This window comes from Homo sapiens, chromosome 3, assembly GCF_000001405.40.
Source record: "Homo sapiens chromosome 3, GRCh38.p14 Primary Assembly".
Lineage (NCBI taxonomy): Eukaryota > Metazoa > Chordata > Mammalia > Primates > Hominidae > Homo > Homo sapiens.
In genome coordinates this window covers 34,893,044-34,917,975 of record NC_000003.12, presented here as the reverse complement: position 1 = coordinate 34,917,975, position 24,932 = coordinate 34,893,044, and the positions used below count along the sequence as shown (strand labels likewise).

General features: G+C 37.2%; 1 long non-coding RNA gene across 1 annotated transcript in view; it reads left to right on the top strand.

The window, feature by feature from the left end:
- LOC101928135 (uncharacterized) overlaps positions 1–24,932 on the top strand; it is a 518,229-nt gene that overhangs the window by 476,048 nt on the left and 17,249 nt on the right. The gene's annotated exons all lie outside the window — the stretch shown is intronic.

The window sequence follows — 24,932 nt, the reverse complement described above, 5'->3', positions numbered from 1 at the left end:
TTACCACTGAAGGACTAAGGAAAAAACCCTCCCCTGGGATATAAAGTACACACAGATGACTCTACAAACACATGGTACCACGGATGCAGTAGGGGCCATATTAGGGCGAACTCATCCTTGATCCCCAGAGTGAAAAGTCTTAGAAATAACCTACAAATAACAACATTAGATGATTCTGCAGAAAACAATAAGGAGGACCAAGGCCAGAGCAAGTCAAGCCATAATGGTGATTTGATACTGACCTCACAAACCACGGCCCAGTATGAAACTGTCTTCAAAATATATTAATTGAAAGAAATAAGGTAAAAAACAGCATGCAATATATGGCCTCTTTTATAAAAATAACATGTAATAAGTACATTCATGCTAAGCACACACAGACACATACACATTCACACACGTGATAAAAATGCAGTCAGGCTCTGACTAACAAAGACAGGTTGCATATACAGTGGTAGTCCCATAAGATTATGATAGAATTGAAAAAATTCTATTTCCTAGTGACAGTTGTAGCTTTCATAATGTTGTAGCACAAGGCATTACTCACATGTTTTTGGTGATGCTGGTGTAACAAACCTACTGTCCTGCCAGTCATATAAAAGGGTAACACATACAATTATGTCCAGTACATAATATTTGATAATGATAATAAATGACTGTGCTACTGATTTAGGTATTTAGTACACTACGCCTTTATTGTTACGTTGGAATATATTTCTTTTACTTATAAAATACAAGTTAAATGTAAAACAGTCTCAGGCAGATCCTAAAGAAAGTATTCCAGAAGAAGTCATTGTTATCATAGGAGATGACAGCTCCATGTGTGTTACTGATCCTGAAGACCACTCAGTGGGAAAACATGTGGAGGTGGAAGACAGTGATATTGATGATAGTGACCCAGTATATGCATAGGCTAATCTGCGTGTTTCTGTCTTAATTTTTAATGCAGTAAAAAAAGATAAAATAGAAGACGGCTTATAGAATAAGGATATAAAGAAAGAAAATATTTTTGTACAGCATTGTAATGTCTGTTTTAAGCTAAATATTATTTTAAAAGAATCAAAAATTTCGAAAATGTTAAAAGCTTATAAAGCAAAATAGTTATAGTAAGCAAAAGTTAATTTATTATTGAAAAAATAAAAATTTTTATAAATTTAGTATAGCCTACATTTATAAAACTTTATAAACACTAATTTATAAAGTCCACAGTTGTATAGAGTAATGTCTGAGGATTTCACATTCACTAACCAGTCACTCTGACTCACCTTGAGTCCTCCAAGCTCCATTCATAGTACGTACCTAACAGGCATACCATTTTTTTTCTTTCATACTATATATTTACTGTACTTTTCTATGTTTAGATATGCTTGAATGCACAAATGCAATTGTTTTATGATGGTCTACAGTATTCAGTATATAATATTCAGTACACAGTGTTCTGTAGAGGTTTGTAGTCTAGAAGCAATAGGCTATACCATAGAGCCAAGGGTGTAGTAGGTTTTACCATACAAATTGTGTAAATACACTCTATGATGTTCACACAACAACAAGATTGCCTAATGATGCATTTCTAAGAACATGTCCTCATTAAGTAATTACTGCATTTAAAAAATAGATTGATAGGTCAGGCACAGTGGCTCACACCTGTAATCCCAACACTTTTGGAGGCTGAGCTGGGTGGATTACCTGAGCTCAGGAATTCAAGACCATCCTAGGCAACATGGTGAAACCCCATCTCTACCAAAAATACAAAAAAATTAGCCAGGCATGGTGATGCATGCTTGTGGTCCCAGTTACTCAGGTGGCTGAGGTGGGAGGATCACTTGAGCCTGGGAGGCAGAGATTGCAGTGAGCCGGGATTGTGCTACTGCCCTCCAACCTGGGTGACAAGAGTGAGACCCTGTCTCAAAAATAAATAAATAAATAAATAAATAAATGAACGATTGATTGATAAATTAAATTTCTAGAAAGATACACCAGAAGTTTCTACCCATGATTAAATTAGAGAGGAAAGAATGATTGGTGTGAAGACCAAGATCTTTATTTTCCAGGCATTCACGTTCTGTTTAAATGGTCTTAGAATGTACATATATTTCTTAAAATTGTTTTAACAGTTTAAGTCTCTTGGTTTCTCTAAACCAAGAAAGAACTTTAAAGCCCTAAAATACATTATGTAACATAAAGGTTCATCTGGAAACATCACTGAGGGCATGACAGAAGCCTCCAATAAACATTGCTTCCACCCTGGGCCCAAGGTCCCTTACATGAAAAATAATGTATTATGCGTAAAACGCAGGACCTAGATTGCAACCCTGGGGCTTGAGTCCTACTTCTACTACTGAAAACAATATAAATGTGTACATTTTAAAGCATGGAAAATTAATGTTCTCATTTGTGATAGAGATATGTATCTGCCTCACAACACTGAATTGAAATGATAAAGTACATGAAAAAACATTTTTTAAATTATAAAACAATACATAATATCACTTTAAATGAGTGAAATTACATTAAAACAGGGCCTTATAAACTTTAGTAATTAAATGTATCTTCCTGGCAGTATTTGATATGAAACTTCTTTATATTCAGTTTTCCTCTGTAATAAATGACAGTGTTAGGTTATCTATGCTTTGAAAAACCTGCAAAGAAGAAATAAATAAGGAAAGAAGGAAGGAAGAAAGGAAGGACACTGAAGTTTTAAAAAAAATAATAATAAACTTTGTTCTGGCCAAAGAAAAATTAGATTAGTCTCCTTGTGTCAAATATCATACAGGAAACACTGACAAACGGTTTAGCAGTGTCAGACATGTAATAACCATTCTGTACTTTTTTTTCAATGAATAGATGTAAACAACATCAGATGATAATAATTTAATTAACAATGACACCCCCACATGGCATGAATTAACCCTAATTTTTCACAGTAATATAAGAAAGAAAATTTATAATTGAAATCAAGAAAAGTGACCTGGGACTAGAATTGAGTCTCCCTTATTTGAGCTGCTTCAACTGGGGTCAGGAGAATGGAGATAAACTGACTGTACAGTATAGTATATTAGAACAGAATGGATAATTAGTCATCAAACCAGTCAGAAAAGCAGTTTGTGGTAAACAATGCAATCTTCCAAATTAAAAAAATATATGTATTTTTCCTCAACAAAGACAAAAAGGAATAGAGTGACAAAGTTATTATTTTTCATTACATAAAGAAAACTAATTTAAATTATATTATTCTGTCAGATACTCTTTCTCATGTTTCTGTCTAACCTCATACAGAAACACTCCTTTCATTGAGGATAGCATACCTGAGGTTTCCATTATTTTCTTAATTCTTTAATTTGTTAAAAATAAAGAAAGAAGAACAGGAAAAATATTTACGCTGTCTCCCTTTTCTCACTTAAAAATTACAGTTATAAAACATATCAAATGTAAAAATATGAAAAAAAATGAACTGACATTCATGTACCAAACATACATATTAAACATATGCCAATATTTTACTATTTTTTATTCTTATGTTTTTAAGAAAAAAAAGACAACTTTTGATTTTCTTAATATTCTCAATTTTTTTAATGTTTTTTAAAATGTCAATAGTTTTAGTGGTACAAGCGGTTTTTGGCGATACAAATTAATTCTATAATTGTGAAGTCTGGGATTTTAGTGTACCCATCACCAGAATAGTGTACACTGAACCCCAATAGCTAGTTCTTTTATCTTTATTATCCTTTCATCTGCATCGTTTGCCTTTATTCTGTTGTTCACTTTCAAACTTCTTGATTAGTGATTTAGCTCATCAAATTATTATCTTCAGTTTTCCTCCAGTATATATATTTAGCAATATAGATTTCCATAAAGCATTTTATGGAATATGTTTTATGCTTGCATATTTGATGTATGTTGTTTTCATTGTGATTTTGCTCTGAGTGTGAAGAGATATGAACAGAAAAGGCAAAGCAGTATTTTAATTTAAATTACTAATTTAAGTTAGTAATTTAATTACTTCCTAATTCCAGGAGACTCAAATTGTCACTGTGGGTCACCAGTCAGAGAAGGAGCTTATGGAGGTCAGGTGATCAATAGAGTATTAGCTCAGGAGCATCTCACAGTAGGCACAGTGGGTCTCTAAATATATCCTGTGTTCATTTCCTCAGTTCCAGAATACAAAATTGGAATTGACATACTCAGCAATTGGCAGAATCCCCACATTAGTTTTCTAACCTCTGAAGTGAGTACTATTATAGTGGGACAAGCTAAGTGGAAGTCACTAGAACAGCTTCTCTCTATAAAAATAGTAAACTAAAACGAAAGCAATACCGTTATGTCTGAAGGGCTTGCATACATTATTACTACTATCAAGTACTTGAAGATGTTAATGTGGTGATTTCCACCACGTCCCCATTCAGTTGACCCACTTGACTTGTGCAGAAACTAGATGTATGTTGGACAATGACAGTAGATTATCATAGTTAATTTGGTGGTGACTCGAATTGCAGCTGCTGGTACAAATGTGGATTTGTTGCTTCCACAAATTATCACATTGCTTGGTACCTGATATGCTATTTATCTGGAAAATGCTTTTTTTTTTTTTTTTTTTTGAGACGGAGTCTCGCTCTGTCGCCCAGGCTGGAGTGCAGTGGCGGGATCTCGGCTCACTGCAAGCTCCGCCTCCCGGGTTCACGCCATTCTCCTGCCTCAGCCTCCCAAGTAGCTAGGACTACAGGCGCCCGCCACTACGCCCGGCTATTTTTTGTAGTTTTAGTAGAGACGGGGTTTCACCGTTTTAGCCGGGATGGTCTCGATCTCCTGACCTCGTGATCCGCCCGCCTCGGCCTCCCAAAGTGCTGGGATTACAGGCGTGAGCCACCGCGCCCGGCCTGGAAAATGCTTTTTAAAAATCGATATTTGTTTTAAAGACCATCATGGGCATGGAAAGGCCATCAATACATTTTGATTCTCCCATCTCAGGGGTATATCAAATTCCCAGCCCTATGTCGTAATCTAGCCCACAGGAGCCTTGATTATCTTTTGCTCCTATGAGGGACTATACCTAGTGAAAAAGATGTAGCAACTACTCTAGAAATGTTGGTAAAAAATATTTGCCAGATGTTGGGAAATAAATACTACTAAAATTTAAGGAAACTTTTACCTCAGTGAAATTTCTAGGATTCCAGGTATGTGGAGACGTGTTAAGATATGTTTTCTTAAGGTTGTTGCATCTGGCCCCTACTGACCCCAAAAGAGGCACAATATCTAGCGAACCCCCTTGGACACTGCAGGCACCATATTCTTCCTTTTGTGCGCTATCTTTTATGGATAATTACTCTCATTTTGAGAAACAACTTTTAAATTGCTATTGGTCCTTAGTAGAGATCAAATGCTTAACCATGAGACAAGTTATCTTTTGAACTTAGCTGTTACATCATGAACAGGGTGTCGTGAGACTCCCTACGCTAAAGTTGGGTGGGCACAGCAGCACTCCCTTACCAAATGGAAAAGCTCAAGCAGTACCTGAAGACACAAGTAAGATACATGAGGAACTGGCCTAATGCACATAGTCCCTGCTCCTGGTAAATTACATTATCTCTCCCAGCCTGCACCTATGGCCTCATGAGGAGTTCTCTATTACCAATTGACTACGAGAGATACAATTTGGAACTTATTTACAGATGGTTATGCACAGTACGCAGGCACCACCTAGAAGCAGACAGTTGTAGCAGTAGAGCCTTTTTCTGGGACAACCCTGAAGGACAGAGGAAAAGGGAAACCTACCCAGTGAGCAGAACTTCAAGAAGTATATCTGGCTGTTAATTTTGTCTAGAAGAAGAAATGGCCAGAGGTACCTATCTATGCTGATTCACTGGCTGTGGTCAATGGTTTGACTGGAAGGCCAAAAAAATTGTGAGAAACACAATTGGAAAATTGGTGCCCAGGAGGTCAGAGGAAGAGATATGCAGAAAGACATCCATCAAGGGGCAAATAATACAAAGATATTTGTATCCTATGTCAATGCTTGCTACAGGTGACTTTAACATAGGAGGAATTTGATAATCAAGTGAATATGATGATTTGTACTAAAGATATCACTCAGTTTTTTACCCCAGCCATTCTATCATTGCCTAATAAGTTTATAAGCAAACTAACCATGGTGGCAAGGATGGAGATTATGCATGGGTTCAGCAGCATGGACTTTCACTTACCAAGATTTGCCTGGCTACAGCCACTGTTGAGTGTCCGATCTGCCAACAGCAGAGGCCAACAATGAGTCACTAATAGGGCATCATTTCTTAGAGAAATAGCTAGCTATTTGATGGAAAGTTGATTACATTGGACCATTTCCATCATAAAACGGGAAGCTCTTCTTTCTTGTTAGAGTAGATATTCAATCTGAATATAGATTTTTCATGCAATGCTTCTGCCAAAATTTGCATCCATGGGATTACAGAATGCCTAATCCATCATCATGGTATTCCACACAGCATTGTTTCTAATCAAATAATTCACTTCACAACAAATGAAGTGCAGCAATGAATCCATACTCAGGGAATTCACTATTCCTATTATGTTTCCATCACCCTGAAGCAGCTGCTTCAGCTGTCTTGATATAACAGGATCGCCTTTTGAAGAGTCAATTACACAGTCAACTATGTGGCAAGAGTTCAGGGCTGGAGCTGTGTCTATCAGTATGTTGCATATCCTTTGAATCAGCATCTAATACATTGTGCTGTTTCTCCCATAGTCAGGATTCATGGGTCCAGGAATCAAGCAAGAAGTGGATATGAGATTGCCTCCACTAGCAGATACCCCTAAAGACTGAATAGTGAAATTTGTTGATTCCTGTTTTTTAGTTCTGCTGGTCTATAAGTTTTAGCTCCAAAAAAGGAAATGCTTCCACTAGGAGACACAACCACCACTGAACTGGAAGTTGAGACTACCATCTGGCCGCTTTGGGCTCCTTATGTCTCTAAATTAACTGGTAAAGAAGTGGATGAATGTACTCTCTGGGGTAATTGATCCTGATTACCAAGGGGATATTGGACTGCAAAGAGTATGTCTAGAATACAGGAGCTCTCTTAGATGTCTCTTAATATTACCATATCTTGTGATTAAAGCTAATGGAAAACTATAATATCCCAATTTAAACAGGACACCTAATGGCTCAGAATCTTTAGAATGAAGGTTTGGTTTACCCCACCAGGCCAAAAAGCAAGACCAGTTGAGGAGCTTCCTGCAGAAAAAGAGAATATAAAGTACGTAATTACAGTAACAGTTACACACACTATCACCATGCAGTTAGTTGAAATAAGGACTATAATAATTATAAATATTTCCTTTTTATTTTGTTATGGATATGTGTATGTATGCATATAATATTTTCTTCCTTCTTATACCCTTATCATGTAACATAAAATGTATTAAAAATAGCTAACTTTATTTTACAGTATTTATTTAATAGGGTATCATAGGAGAAGGGTGAAAAATTACCTAAAAACTTTACATCCTCTTTAGAGGAAAAAGAATAACGTGTTTTCAGTTGTAAACAGGAAACTTATGTCACGTTAGGTGGAAGAACAACTTTGGTATTGTCTTTAATGGGAGATTATGTATGGTTTAACGAGATGTATATGGGTGCAAAGTTGACCAAGGATAGGCAGTGATGATCAGTTTATGTTTAACTTGACTGGGCTGCAGTCCTCAGTTATCCAATCAAATGCTAATCAAAATGTTCCCATGCATGTTTTTATTATTATTATACTTTAAGTTCTATGGTACATGTGCACAACGCACAGGTTTGTTATATATGTATACATGTGCCATGTTGGTGTGCTATGCTCGTTAACTCGTCATTTACATTAAGTATATCTCCTAATGCTATCCCTCCCCACCCTACCCCACTACAGGCCCCAGTGTGTGATGTTCCCCAACCTGTGTCCAAGTGTTCTCATTGTTCAATTCCCACCTATGAGTGAGAACATGCGCTGTTTGGTTTTCTGTCCTTGCGATAGTTTGCTGAGAATGATGGTTTCCCTACAAAGGACATGAACTCATAATTTTTTATGGCTGCATAGTATTCCATGGTATATATGTACCACATTTTCTTAATCCAGTCTATCATTGATGGAAATTTGGCTGGGTTCCAAGTCCTTGCTATTGTGAATAGTGCCACAATAAACATACGTGTGCATGTGTCTTTATAGCAGCATGATTTATAATCCTTTGGGTATATGCGCAGTAATGGGATGGCTGGGTCAAATGGTATTTCTAGTTCTAGATCCTTGAGGAATTGCCACACTGTCTTCCACAATGCTTGAACTAGTTAACAGTCCCACCAATAGTGTAAAAGTGTTCCTATTTCTCCACATCCTCTACAGCACCTGTTGTTTCCTGACTTTTTAATGATCGCCTTTCTAACTGGTATGAGATGGTATCTCATTGTGGTTTTAATTTGCATTTCTCTGATGGCCAGTGATGATGAACATTTTTTCCTGTGTCTGTTGGCTGCATAAATGTCTTCTTTTGAGAAGTGTCTGTTCATATCCTTTGCCCACTTTTTGATGGGGTTGTTTGATTTTTTCCTGTAAATTTCTGTAAGATCTTTGTAGATTCTGGATATTAGCCCTTTGTCAGATGGGTAGATAGCAAAAATTTTCTCCTATTCTGTAGGTTTCCTGTTCACTCTGATGGTAGTTTCTTTTGCTGTTCAGAAGCTCTTTAGTTTAATTAGATCCTATTTGTCAATTTTGGCTTTTGTTGCCATTGCTTTTGGTGTTTTAGTCATGAAGTCCTTGCCCATGCTTATGTCCTCAATGGTATTGCCTAGGTCTTCTTCTAGTGTTTTTATGGTTTTAGGTCTAACATTTAAGTCTTTAATCCATCTTGAATTAATTTTTGTATAAGGTGTAAGGAAGGGATCCAGTTTCAGTTTTCTATATATGGCTAGCCAGTTTTCCCAGCATCATTTATTAAATAGGGAATCCTTTCCCCATTTCTTGTTTCTGTCAGGTTTCTCAAAGATCAGATGGTTGTAGATGTGTGGTATTATTTCTGAGGGCTCTGTTCTCTTCCATTGGTCTATATCTCAGTTTTGGTACAAGTACCATGCTGTTTTGGTTACTGTAGTCTAGTAGCATAGTTTGAAGTCAGGTAGCGTGATGCCTCCAGCTTTGTTCTTTTGGCTTAGGATTGTCTTGGCAATGTGGGCTCTTTTTTGGTTCCATACGGACTTTAAAGTAGTTTTTTCCAATTCTGTGAAGAAAGTCATTGGTAGCTTGATGGGGATGGCATTGAATCTATAAATTACCTTGGGCAGTATGGCCATTTTCATGATATTGATTCTTCCTATCCATAAGCATGGAATTTTCTTCCATTTGTTTCTGTCCTCTTTTATTTCGTTGAGCTGTGGTTTGTAGTTCTCCTTGAAGAGGTCCTTCACATCCCTTGTGAGTTGGATTCCTAGGTATTTTATTCTCTTTGAAGCAATTGTGAATGGGAGTTCACTCATGCTTTGGCTCTCTGTTTGTCTGTTATTGGTGTATAGGAATGCTTGTGATTTTTGCACATTGATTTTGTATCCTGAGACTTTGCTGAAGTTGCTTATCAGCTTAAGGAGATTTTGGGCTGAGGTGATGGGGTTTTCTAGATATCCAATCATGTCATCTGCAAATAGGGACAATTTGACTTCCTCTTTTCCTAATTGAATGCCCTTTATTTCCTTCTCTTGCCTGATTGCCCTGGCCAGAACTTCCAACATTATGTTGAATAGGAGTGGTGAGAGAAGGCATCCCTGTGCTTGTGCCAGTTTTCAAAGGGAATGCTTCCAGTTTTTGCCTATTCAATATGATATTGGCTGTGGGTTTGTCATAAATAGCTCTTATTATTTCGAGATATATCCCATCAATACCTAGTTTATTGAGAGTTTTTAGCATGAAAGGCTGTTGATTTTTGTCAAAGGCCTTTTCTGCTTTTATTGAGGTAATCATGTGGTTTTTGTCTTTGGTTCTGTTTATATGATGGATTACGTTTATTGATTTGCATATATTGAACCAGCCTTGCATCCCAGGGATGAAGCCAACTTGATTGTGGTGGATAAGCTTTTTGATGTGCTGCTGGATTCACTTTGCCAGTATTTTATTGAGGAGTTTTGCGTTGATGTTCATCAGGGATATTCTCTTTTTTTGTTGTGTCTCCACCAGGCTTTGGTATCAGGATGATGTTGGCCTCATAAAACGAATTAGGAAGGACTCCCTCTTTTTCTGTTGATTGGAATAGTTTCAGAAGGAATGGTCCCAGCTCCTCTTTGTACCTCTGGTAGAATTCAGCTGTGAATCCATCTGGTCCTGGACTTTTTTTGGTTGGTAGGCTATTAATTATTGCCTCAATTTCAGAACCTGTTATTGGTCTATTCAGGTCTTCAACTTCTTCCTGGTTTAGTCATGGGAGGGTGTATGTATCCAGGAATTTATCCATTTCTTCTAGACTTTCTAGTTTATTTGCATAGAGGTGTTTAGAGTATTCTCTGATGGTAGTTTGTATTTCTGTGGGATCGGTGGGATCCTCTTTATCTTTTTTTATTGCATCTATTTGATTCTTCTTTCTTTTCTTCTTTATTAGTCTTGCTAGTGGTCTATCAATTTTGTTGATCTTTTCAAAAAACCAGTTCCTGGATTCATTGATTTTTTGAAGGTTTTTTTTGTGTCTCCATCTCTTTCAGTTTTGCTCTGATCTTAGTTATTTCTTGCCTTCTGCTAGCTTTTGAATGTGTTTGTTCTTGCTTCTCTAGTTCTTTTAATTGTGAAGTTAGGGTGTCAATTTTGGATCTTTCCTGCTTTCTCTTGTGGGCATTTAGTGCTATAAAATTCCCTGTACACACTGCTTTAAATGTGTCCCAGAGATTCTGGTATGTTGTGTCTTTTTTCTCACTGGTTTCAAAGAACATCTTTATTTCTGCCTTCATTTTGTTATGTACCCAGTAGTCATTCAGGAGCAGGTTGTTCAGTTTCCATGTAGTTAAGCGGTTTTGAGTGAGTTTCTCAATCCTGAGTTCTAGTTTGATTGCACTGTGATCTGAGAGAGAGTTTGTTATAATTTCTGTTCTTTTACATTTGCTGAGGAGTGCTTTACTTCCAACTATTTGGTCAATTTTGGAATAAGTGTGATGTGGTGCTGAGAAGAATGTATATTCTGTTGATTTGGGGTGGAGAGTTCTGTAGATGTCTATTAGGTCTGCTTGGTGCAGAGCTGAGTTCAATTCCTGGACATCCTTATAAGCTTTCTGTGTCATTGATCTGTCTAATGTTGACAGTAGGGTGTTAAAGTCTCCCACTATTATTGTGTGGGAGTTTAAGTCTCTTTGTAGGTCTCTAAGGACTTGCTTTATGAATCTGGGTGCTCCTGTATTGGGTGCATATATATTCAGGATAGTTAGCTCTTCTTGTTGAATTGATCCCTTTACCACTATGTAATGGCCTTCTTTGTCTCTTTTGATCTTTGTTTGTTTAACGTCTGTTTTATCAGAGACTAGGATTGCAACCCCTGCTATTTTTGTTTTCCACTTGCTTGGTAGATCTTCCTCCATCCCTTTATTTTGAGCCCATGTGTGTCTCTGCATGTGAGATGGGTCTCCTGAGTACAGTACACTGATGGGTCTTGACTCTGTATCCAATTTGCCAGTCTGTCTTTTAATTGGAGCATTTAACCCATTTACATTTAAGGTTAATATTGTTATGTGTGAATTTGATCCTGTCATTATGATGTTAGCTGGTTATTTTGCTCATTAGTTGATGTAGTTTCTTTGTAGCATCAATGGTCTTTACAATTTGGCATGTTTTTGCAGTGGCTGGTACCAGTTGTTCCTTTCCATGTTTAGTGCTTCCTTCAGGAGCTCTTGTAAGACAGGCCTGGTGGTGACAAAATATCTCAGCATTTGTTTGTCTGCAAAGGATTTTATTTCTCCTTCATTTATGAAGCTTAGTTTGGCTGGATATGAAATTCTGGGTTGAAAATTCTTTTCTTAAGAATGTTGAATATTGGCCCCCACTCTCTTCTGGCTTGTAGAGTTTCTGCCAGGAGATCCGCTGTTAGTCTGATGGGCTTCCCTTTTTGGGTAACTTGACATTTCTCTCTGGCTGCCCTTAACATTTTTTCCTTCATTTCAACTTTGGTGAATCTGACAGTTATGTGTCTTGCAGTTGCTCTTCTCGAGGATTATCTTTGTGACGTTCTCTGTATTTCCTGAATTTGAATGTTGGCCTGCCTCCCTAAGTTGGGGAAGTTCTCCTGGATAATATCCTGAGGAGTGTTTTCCAACTTGGTTCCATTCTCCCAGTCACTTTCAGGTACACCAGTCACACGTAGATTTGGTCTTTTCACATAGCCCCATATTTCTTGGAGGATTTGTTCCTTTCTTTTTACTCTTTTTTCTGTAAACTTCTCTTCTTGCTTCATTTCATTCATTTGATCTTCAATCACTGATACCCTTTCTTCCACTTGATCAAATCAGCTACGGAAGCTTATGCATGCATCACGTGGTTCTCATGCCATAGTTTTCAGCTCCATCAGGTCATTTAAAGACTTCTCTACACTGTTTATTCTAGTTAGCCATTCGTCTAATCTTTTTTCAAGGTTTTTAGCTTCTTTGCGGTGGGTTCAAACATCCTCCTTTAACTTGGAGAAGTTTGTTATTACCGATCATCTGAAGCCTACTTCTCTCAACTCATCAAAGTCATTCCCCATCCAGCTTTGTTCCATTGCTGGCGAGGAGCTATGTTCCTTTGGAGGAGAAGAGGCACTCTGCTTTTTAGAATTTTCAGCTTTCTGCTCTGGTTTCTCCCCATGTTTGTGGTTTTATCTACCTTTGGTCTTTGATGATGGCAATGTACAGATGGATTTTTGGTGTGGATGTCCTTTCTGTTTGTTAGTTTTCCTTCTAACAGGCAGGAGCCTCAGCTGCAGGTCTGTTGGAGTTTGCTGGAAGTCCACTCCAGACCCTGTTTGCCTGGGTATCACCAGCAGGGGCTGCAGAACAGCAAATACTGCAGAACAGTAAATGTTGCTGCCTGATCCTTCCTCTGGAACCTTTGTCTCAGAGGGGCACCTGGCTGTATGAGGTGTCAGTTGGCCCCTACTGGGAGGTGTCTCCCAATTAGGCTATTCGGGGGTCAGGGACCCACTTGAGGAGGCAGTCTGTCCGTTCTCAGATCTCAAACTCCATGCTGGGAGAACCACTACTTACTTCAAAGGATGTTTAAGTCTGCAGAAGTTTCTGCTGCTTTTTGTTCAGCTATGCCCTGCCCCTAGAGGTGGAGTCCACAAAGGCAGGCAGGCCTCCTGGAGCTGCAGTGGGCTCCACCCAGTTCAAGCTTCCTGGCCACTTTGTTTACCTACTCAAGCCTCAGCAATGGTGGATGTCCCTCCCCGAGGCTCACTGCTACCTGCCTTGCAGTTGGATCTCAGACTGCTGTGCTAGCAGTAAGCGAGGCTCCGTGGGCGTGGGACCCTCGGAGCCAGGCATGGGATATAATCTCCTGGTGTGCCGTTTGCTAAGGCCATTGGAAAAGTGCAGAATTAGGGTGGGAGTGTCCCAATTTTCAGTTACCGTCTGTCACAGCTTTCCTTTGCTAGGAAAGGGAATTCTCCAACCCCTTGCACTTCCCCAGTGAGGCAATGCCCCGCCCTGCTCCATGGGCTGCACCCACTGTCTGACAAGCCCCAGTGAGATGAACCCAGTACCTCAGTTGGAAATGCAGAAATTACCCATCTTCTGCATCACTCACGCTGGGAGCTATAGACTGGAGCTGTTCCTATTCGGCCATCTTGGAACTCCCATGCATTTTTGTATTAATTAAAGTCCAGAATCAATTGACTTTAAATAAGGGAGAGTACTCTAGACATTCTGGGCCTGATTCAATCAGTGGAAAATCTTTAAGAACAGACCTGAGGTGTCCCCAAAAAAGAATAAAATCCCCCCATGGACAGAAGCTTCAGTTTATGCCTAAGGCTACAGTCTGTCTTTCCTTGTGGCCTAAGAATATTGAAATTTCCTGGTCCCCACAATCACATAAAAGAATTCCTAACAATACATCTCTTAATATGTATAGTCTGCTGCATCTGTTTCTCTGATTGAACTCAGACTGATTTAATTGACAAAAGACAAATAGAAACCTTTTACAGTCTTGTATTTGTCAAAGATATTAATTCAAATTAAAAACTTTCCACAAAAAATATGACTCTTTTCTTCAAGACTAAGTTTTATCAATCAGTTAAGAAAGAGATAATGATACCTTTACACACAATTGTTCAAAGAATTAAAGAAGTTAGGACTATTTTCCAAATTTTTATGATGCCAGAATAGTCCCAATAGCAAAACAAGACTAACACATTACAAGAAAAATATTGCACATCTATAGCCTTTATAAACATAAATTCAAACATTCTACATAAAATACAGTAATAACGAGAATGGACAATACATAAAAATTGAACTGTTTATCTCAGGTAAGCAAGTTGATTTAACATTTGAAAATCAATCAGTATAATTCACTCAACGCTTATTCAAAATAATGGTAACTCTGCAAGTTTTCTGTGACTCATTTTATAGGACACATCTGCACTGTCAGTGTGTAGAAATTCATTCGCTAGTGCCTGCCATTGTGAACTGATGAATATCCTATTGTCCTGAAAAGATACAGATTTCACACTTTGTACTGGAAAGGCAATGTAACACAGTGGAAAGACTATGGTTGTGGAGTCACACAGGCCTTGGCTGGCATTATTGCTCCGTCACTAACCAGCTTTATGACGCTACAGTCAACTCATCTCTCTTGGCCAGTTATTTTTTTTTTTTATAAAAGTAAAATAATAGCATTTCATAGAGAAAGAGTAAGAATGAGAGAGGATAAATGTTAATTATCAATGCTATAATTGGTTAAAACACCTCGTCTAGAGAGTATCTTCATATAGTGGAAGGAGGACCTGACTTTGGCAGCACTATCCTGGTACCCAGCTGTACAAAAAAGGCTCAGTCATAAAATAGCCAAGAGACATTCTTTAGAAAGTAACTTTACTTTTCTGAGTCCTGGCACCACCATCTTTAGGATGAGATTCATAATTGTTATCTCTACTATTCACTGAAATATCTAGAATACAGAATGAAGACAGAAACCAAAATATACTAAAATAGGCTGGGTGCAGTGGCTCATGCCCATAATCCCATCACTTTGGGAGGCTGATGTGAGAGGATAACTTGAGTCTAGGAGTTCAAGAGCAGTCTGGGTAACATGGAAAAAGCCAGTCTCTACTAAAAGAAAAAAAGAGACATAAAATAAATTCTAATTATTATTAATGTTATTATTGTTATTGTCATTTTCATATCCATATTACCTATATTGTTTTAGGTCTAACACATCATTCTGCTGGGCATATTGTAGACTTCATTATTGATTAATTGACTGTAGACTCGTTCACACTGAACAACAACAAAAAAATTGCTTCCATTTCTAGAATTTAGTTCCATGAGGAGGGAACTGGTTTCTAGCTATCAGAAAGTGTTTCAAGTGGATGTTCAGTAAACATTTGTTCTGTGAGTGGATTTGCTAATTAATGTAAGAAGCTAGATCATCAGAGTTGTTTATCATGCAAGTTACACTTCCAGCATCATTTCTGGCACAGTGCCCACAACACCTGGAAAGCCTGTCTTTAACTCAAGGTATGTCTCAGGACATGGGAGAAATATAACTTATTTCTACATGGAAGTTACCCAATAAATGTAAATGCTTACATCCTGCTGACTCTACTGCCTGGAATATGTTTCATGTACTTTATAAAATCTGGTGGAATCATGGCCAAGACATTACTCCTTACTGAGTCTCAACTTGCTAACAAATAAACGAGGAAATCAATGTAACAGCTCCAAAGCTATTGAAAAGTAATACAGTATAGTCGTTTAAGGCCATATGCTTTGGAATCGGGAAGATGTAGATTTCAATTCTGGCTCTAACATTTGCTATATTTGTGATGTTGGGCAAGTTACAGTCCCTTAGTACTCAGTAGTCTTCGGTTGATTTATTTATGAACTGAAAAATTAATTAATGTCAAAGGATTATTGCAAGTATTAAGTAAGAAAATGAACATTACACTCAGAGTAAACACTAGCATTTAGAAAATGTACAATAAATGATAGCAGCTCAGTTCATTATAATTATCATAGCCTTAAAGAAATAGTAGAAAGAAGAAAAACACTGAACTTGGGCCAAGCTGTGCTGAAAGCTCATCTCTGCTACTTGTGAGTTGTGTGATTTTGGGTGATTTATAATCTTCGAGGGCTTTTTTTTTCTTTGTCTGTAAAATGGCGTTAGTTTCACCTAATATCTACAAGTTATTAGGAAAATTAAATGATATGCTAATCTAAAAACTTGCCATTCAATGAATGTTAATTAATTTTCTCTTTGAAGATGCTGGTGGTTAGGTGCTCTAGTATTCTCTATTTTTTTCTACTGTTTTTCCCCCTCTACTGTGCTGTTACTCATTTATTCATTCACTCATCAAAAGGCACCATGAAAGAAAATCAGAGTGCAATGATGGATGGACAAGCCAGACTTTTTATCTACAACCTTAGAATGTAAAGTTAGCTAGGAAGACAGTCACAGAAAATATAATTAAAGGTCTATGAATATTATGAAGAGGAATTACAGAATGCTTTGAAAGCTTATAAATGAGAACCTAATCTAGTTTTGGTGCTCAGAGAATATATTCCAATAAATAGTTTAGGCAGGAAGAATAAGTAGGTGTTGGCAAGAAAGGGATCCAGGATATTCCAGGCACATGAAACACAGATGCAGAGGTCCAGCAGATGGAGGTGGCCTGGGGATTTCAAGGATAAAGAGGAAGGTCACTGTAACTGAACCATAGTGAGTAACGGAGAAATGGCCATGTTCAGCCATTTTGGAAGTTGGCAGGGGCCAGATTAAGCACCATCATTTAAGCTTAAGATTCTGGCCTTTATTCTAAGAGAAGTAAAAAAAAAAAAAAAAAAAAAAAAAAAAAAAAAAAAAAAAATTGATATTTTATGAGGTCAGGATAAATTGATTATTAATTGAAATATCTGTTTTCAGAATGGGAAGTGAAGGTTTAGATAGGCTAAATGCCATTTCCTGAATCACACACACCTGCATTGGTACAATTGTGAATTGAACGAAAGTGCTGATACTAATGGTAAAAGAAAAAAGCACAAATGTATTACCTCATTTTTTCATGCTCCCGTGATACTTGTGCTGTCATCTCAGGACAGAACATAATGAGGCAAGTCACTTACAGTTTTGCCTGATGCAGCAAATCATATAACTCACATACTGGGAGAGTAGGGAAATTGTAGAATGGCAGCTTCATTTATTAATGGTGTGCTTTTGGACAAAGAAAAAGAAAAGGTCCCCTATTTTGAAAAATTATGTACTCGTTGTCTGAAGTCCTCCAGGTAGATGGGCATGATTGAAATTTGTGCAACTGAATAAATAAATAACCAAAGATAAATGCAGACACATAAGAATATCCAATTGTTCAATAAGAATGTAATGTATCATATACACACTAAGCAAGATACATTTCAGAGAACTAAGGATTTGAAGCACAAAAATTTAATTTCCAACTATATCTCTGGTACTTTCTATCTGTGTGACTATGGGCAAATTACCTGGGTTTTTAGTTTTATCAGTGTCCTGTTAAAAATGCGCATAATTGTATATATGCAAATATATTCTTGTATATGTTTATAAAAACTTACAGCTGGAAAGGTCCTAGGAAATAATAAACTCACTCAATCCCAATTCCCCCTGTATAAGGATGGAAAAATTAGGCCAGGAAGAGTGAAAAGATTGACCCAGAATATGCCTACAATTTTTGACCTTGAGCTTCTTCCTGTTTCTAATGTATCCCACACCTATTATATAAAAATAAGATAGTATGATTGTCCTGGGTGTTTTACCTACCTTATATCATTTAATCCTCACAGTAAACCAATAACATAAGAATTGTGATTCTCATATTGCAGATAAAGAAATGGAGGATTATAATGTTTAGGAAAATTGCCCCAAATTATTTAGCTAGTCAATGCAGTTTTAATTTGAACCCAGGTCTTTATTTTAATTACTCCTTACCCCTTAGGCTCCAACACACTAGATTACTTTGTAAAGCTCTTGCATGCAAATTGCCATTGAGGAAAACTGACTTAGGAAAATTTTCTACCTTCTTTCACCTGGATAAGCCATTATGCCGTATCTTTCTGTACACATGTAAAAGTATTTTAGAAGAAGTGCGTGACTATTCCTTAGCCCACACTTCACTCAGTAAGTCTTAGGGCTGGCTACATGTGGAACTTACTAGAACTAAAGTTTTAAGTTTGAATTAGTCAGCTTCCTGCCTTTATTAAGGTGTAGAACAATCTCTATGAAATAAACTAGTAGGAGTTTGGTTTACGCACACACTCTGAAATTTCATGGACAGTTTAGAAGTACAAAAGAAAATGACTAAAATCGACACCTGGTTAGGACTTCTTAACACTTCCACTGTGTTAAACTGCCATGAGTCCCCACATATTTTGTACCATTTGGAGACTCATGATGGAATTGATGAGTTTGAAATGTCAACCAGCTAGTAGTACCTGGAGCAACCTCATCTGGCATCCTGCTAATGTACCATAAAGGCATGTCGCCAAAGCAAAATTCATAAGAGTAAACACTAAAATCAGAAAATCATCTACTACCAAATACCAGGAAAAAATTTTACTAATGCCAACAATAGAACAGGATTGAGAGGAAAAGAAATGGCAATGTAAACATACATTTGGCACCAGAGATAAAACTACGTCAACCAGCTGGAAGAAGGTAGGAAGATTTTTCCTAAGTCAGGTTTCCCTCAATGGAAATTTGCATGCAGGAGCTTTAGACAGAAGAATTTTTAGAAGAACACCAGCAAGGGAGTGAGGGAAATAGGTTCAGATAAGGAGATGAGTTTAATTGTAATTTAGTTATCAGCTTTGGAGCTTGGATGGCTCCACAGAGACGTCCTGAACTGGGAACAGGGCTTTTGTACCCCCATACTCATCAGTCATTGTACCCTGGCTGTCTCCAGGAAGGGTGCTTATTCTTTAATGAATCAGCTCCCTTCAGTGATGGACAAGTTACCATGAGGGACTTGGCGTTATCAGCAGTCACTATACCAAATGGAAAAATTAAGCAGGGATATTATTTTGGGGGGCTGAAAAGATACTTCTCCTCTTTTATCTCATCTTTATCAGATATATTTAGAGAAAGTAACTCCTTGAAAATAAATGTTAAGACACTTTCAGAGAAGTTGAAGCTGTGTGTTAAATCCTTAAAGCCGTAATCCCCTGGGGGGCAGGGTGGTGAGGGAATTATGAGCACATGGAGATTGGAAGATTCCTGGCAGCAATGCGTGATGACTGCTGATTTATTTAAATGTGCCCACTGGTTCAAAGTTTAATCAACATCAGGATAGGAGACAATTCTTCAAATGGCCAGAGCCTTATGGAAAGAATCCTGCTAGACACTGGGAGTTGGGCTAGAAACTATGCAAATTAACACCCTTCAAACTATAGACTAGAAAGTGAAATAGCCAGAGTCCAAAAGACCCTGGAAGTATGATCCATATCCCTACCTGCATGCTGAAAAAATTATACCTGCCAAGATGAATTCTCATCTTAAAAAGGGGAAAAAAGTCACTATGGGTTGTACCAAAGAAGAGATTGGAACATGGAATTGGGAACTCTGACCTGGACACCGGAATAATGTATCTTAATACTATCTCCTGTAGTATAAGGAGAAAATTCTAAAAGAAAATGAGAAACCACCTCAAATTGGAATAAGTAAGTAGGTAGATAGACAGATAAAATAATGAATAAAGACATTGTGAACCACACAAAAACTTTAAATCTAAAACAGGCTAAGATTAAGGAAAAAAAATGGCAATATGACCTACACAACAGAATGAGAACCTAATGAGGCTGAGTTAAGGTATGCTTGCCGTAAGATAATTACAGTATGAGAATTAAAATTCATATCAGTACATTGGAATCTTTAAGCAGACATACATAGAAAAGTTAAGCCATACATCTGTAATTCAAATCTGAGAATTTTGTATGTGGATCAAAATTTAAAGAAATTTAAAGCATATGAATAATTGGTACAAAGTGCAGGTGGGAATCCAATGGAACAAATATGGTTGAACTGATGAAAAAGGGAAAAATTATAAAATGAACAAAAATTTGAAACAGTGCAGGAAAAATTTTCAGTTTTAGAATATAACTGTTTCTAAAGGGCTTAACCCTATTGTTGTGAGCTATGTCGTGTCTTCCCAATTCAAATTAGCATAACAAAATTCTAACCCTCAGAACGTCAGAATGTGACTGTATCTGACATTGGGTCCTTTAAAGAGGTAATTAAAGAAAAATAAGGTTATATGGGTGGATCTTATTCCAGTGTGGCTAGTGTCCTTATAAAAAAGAAAACAAGGACACAGGAGCACACAGAGGGACAGCCATGTGAAGACACAGGGAGAAAATGGCCTCCTCCAAGCCAAAGAGAGAGGGCTCAGAATTATCAGCTCTGTTGACTTCTTGATCTCAGACTTCTAGCCTCTCAAATTCTGAGAAAATAAATTTCTGGTGTTTAAGCCACCCAGTCTTTGGTATTTTGTTATGATAGCCATAGTAAACTAATACATCTACTCTGGCAAATTTAATAAAATAAAGAGAAATAAAAACAGACATACGGAAATTTTTTTGAATTGCAAGAATTATTTTAAATTCCCACAAATTTCCAGACAGAAAATTTTGGTTATCTATGAAGGAATAAATTATAGAATAAAATTAAATAAATAAATTAAATTATGCAACTACCACCTTTATCTAATTCTAAAATATTTTCATCACCCCAAAAGAAAATTGTGGTAGTACAACCCAGACTCTCCTAGTTTAAGTAAGCTAGTCTTTTCAAACTCCTATAGTAAAGAAACAGTGTCTTGTTTTGTTACTTATTGTTTTGTTGTTGCTCCTATTAGTCTATTGTAGATCATTACTTTTGGAAATACAATAAAAATATCTGGCAGTGTCAAGTTGTAATATAAGATTCTAAATGTTAACCTGGCTTCCTGTACGTATCTCATTTTAATGGGCAACAAACTAGCCCACACTTTGAGTAGCCCTGCTTTAGGCTATCACACGAATTGTCTGCCATCAACTGAGAGTCTAACAGGACCAATTCCACCACACTTCACACCCCCATTATGTTAATCAGTACCGCTAATCTAAGCCACCCAGGTCACCAACCATTATCCAGATCATTTAGTCCTATAAGGTTTTATATATTCAATGATCTGACTACCTCTCTCATTCTTTTCCATTTTACCCAACCTCTCCCGTGTGCTCTCTGAAATTCAGGGTGTAAGAGAACAATAAACTCCTCTAAAGTTTGCAGCACACCTTAAGGTCTCTATTCTATTTTCATTTCCATCTTTCCCTTGCTGTTAACTTCCCATTTTGTTTAGGGAAGCAAATGAATCATTGCTAGTCTAAGTCAGTCATGATAGTCACCTTCACCTTTGCCAGGACATATATAGAAAAGTACTTGATTTCCCTGCATTATTTGTAGCAGATGTAGAGTAGAATTGCATCAACTGCAATTATTGACATCGATGCAATTCTTGCAGTTATTGACATTGATGCAATTCTTGACATTGATTTAGTTCATGATGTCTTCTAAAAGACTTTTGAGAAATTTACTTAACTATCATAAAGCAAGAACTACTTGGAAAAGGCCACTTTCTAGCTGCCCCACACCCAACTCCAGCTTCCTGGATTCAATGTTGTTTTATTATAATATTGAGATCATGCAGTGAAAAGCTTAAGTGCCCCAAACAAACCTGCCAAGGATGGCAGAGAAGAATGCCAGAAAACATATTAGGTCATGATACTGGCAGATGGCTGAACTTGTGTCAGTAACTCTCTAGCTGTAGAGTTCGTTATACAGAGAAAACTCTAAGTGATAAAACTATAACTCTATACTCTGCACTCTATACCACCTCATTGAAGAAAAACTTGGAGGGATTCTGTGGACAATGCTTTCCCTGCAGTTCTCTCAAATAAATAGCGTTTTCCCCCTCCATGTATCTTGGACTTTAAATGTGTAGTAAGTGTCCTGATACTACTTTTTGATCAGAGGCCTGTGATGTTTTCTGTAATGATACGTATAGAAAATATTTGCAGCTATCTAACTTTGCCATTGTACCTCCAAAACAACAATAGACAATACATAAATGAATGGGCTTAGCTGTGTTCCAATAAGACTTTATTGCAAAAAAAAGTGTGAGAAGGATTTGGCTCACAGTTCATAGTTTGCCAGTCCCTATTCTAAGTCACTGTTTTACATTCTTCCTTGAAAACTTTATGCCTTTTGACACTTTAGTCATTCTGACAGCTAATCTGCTATTATTTACCATTCTCTGATTATTTCCCTTTAATCCTTTGATGGCATTACAAACTAGCTCACTAATTTGCTCTCCATTACTGGTCCTTCCACCATTTTTGATAACCACAGAACCCCTAGCATTTCAATTCCTCGACTACCTCAAGAGCCATGCTTTTTCTGCACTCCTACTTAAGTCACTCACACGAATGGTTCAAACTTAGACATTGTCATCAACAATAACATTGCTTCTTTCAAAGCCTTGAAAGCTAAAATTCTAGTTTTAGATCACTAACTCTGGTCTTTCCAGCTTGCTTACTCTAGTCTCCTATTCCAATAACTCTTTATCCTCATTGGAACTATTACTTTATCATGTCTGCACATGTTATGTCCTCTTTACTAACACAGAACTATAGAATGCATGGGCCAGAATTGTAACCAGCTCCTTGCAAATACTTTTAATACGTTTTCTTTAGTTTCCACTTTGACACACTCATGAGAAAACAACCAATCATGAATGAAATCCAAATGTATACTGATATGGTTTGGCTGTGTCCCCAGACAAATCTCATCTTGAATTGTAGCTCCCATAATTCCCATGTGTTGTGGGAGGGACCTGGTGGGAGATAATTGAATCATGAGGGTGATTTCCCTCATACTGTTCTCTTGGTAGTGAAGAAGTCTCACAAGATTTGTTGGTTTTATAAGGGGGAACCCCTTTTGCTTGGTTCTCATTCTCTGCTGCTGCCATGTAATATGTGACTTGCTCCTTATTGCCTTCTGCCATGATTGTGAGGCCTCCCCAGCCATGTGTAACTGTGAGTAAATTAAACCTCTTTCCTTTATAATTACCCGGTCTCAGGTATGTCTTTATTAGCAGTGTGAAAATAGACTAATACACCAACCTAGGACAAATAGATAAGAAAGGAGCTAAAGGTTGTTGAAGAAAAATCCTAAAATGGTGCTGATCTCTTTTTACATGTGTAGCCACAAACGTTAAACTAAACTACCCCAAAATCCCAATGTTTTCTTAGTAAATTCATTTTTTAATCCAAGATGACTACTTCATATTTCTTTTTGTCCCAATGTACTCAACTATTGACTTTGTGTTATCTTTAACTTACAAAATCAATATCATAACATGAAAGTATTATCCTCTTCCCAACTCCAAATCTCTGGATCCTCCTCATCTTTACTATTTTTAAAAATTTATTTTTCAAGACAAGGCCTCATTCTTTCACGCAGGTTATGGTGAAATCATAGCTCACTGCAGCCTCAAGCTCCACATTCCAAGTGATCCTCCTGTCTCAGCCTCCCAAAATGCTAAGATTACAGGTGTGAGCTACTATGCCCAGCCCTCATGTTTACTCTTATAATGTGCCTTCTCCTTAGTTACAGAGGGCAGTCTGTCATGATGGTTGAGGATATCGCCTGTACAGTAAGACATCTTGGCTTTCTGTCCTGGCTCCTCTATGTAATAGCTGAGATCTGTGAGAATAGGGGAGTGGCTTAACTACTCTGTATCCCTGTTTTTCCCCTGTAAAATGAAAACAGTGATAGAATCTACCTCTCAAATTACTTCTGGAAGTTAAGTGAGTTAATATTGTTCAGATCCTAAGAACAATTCCCATCACATGGTAAGTGATTACTAAATATTAGACATATTACTAATTCATTATTAAAATGAGGGAATTGTCCTTGCTGCTACAGAGAGCCAACTCTTCCTCTTGTGCTCCAGATTTAATTCCAAGTTTTGCATTCAACAGATCATGCTGAAATCCAAAATGCAAACAAGTTATAACAAGAACTGTATAGAAAATGTCGTATATATAGATTAACACAAATAGTAAGGTAAATGGAATAAATCACTATAATTTCTATTATGCTGTTAGGTTTCTAAATAAATTTCTTCCTACCTAAATACCTCATATGCTTTTATGTTATTTTAGAGTTGGTTAAAAATATAAGTATGTCATTTCTTGCCATAAGTTGTTGTCTTCCTCTTGCTAGTATCTGATATTAAATGTGTTTTAAAAAGAGAAAGATTCAAACAAGCATGGATTCAGATTTTTTTAGAACCTAAAATGTTTACATTTTTAGAAAATACACAATTTTAGTATAAAATGAGTTACAAGACCTATGCAAGTGAGAGGCCTTGAAGCTTAAGCTTCATTAGCATCTCCTTTAATAATCTCAACAATCCTAAAATGAGCTTGTTATTATCCCCCACATACTAATGAAGAAACATGGAATAACATGCTAATGGCTACATAGGCAGTTGAGCAATCTAGCTGGGATTTGTCCCAAATTTTCTGGATTTAAGGCCCGTGTCCTTTACCTTTATATTCCAGCTGCCTCTATCCTTATAGGCAGAAAGGAAGTCAGGATTCCAAAGATTACCTTATTTGTTCAGTTGCTTCTTTCTCAATATTTATACACATCATGAATATGATTTTTTCCCAGTTT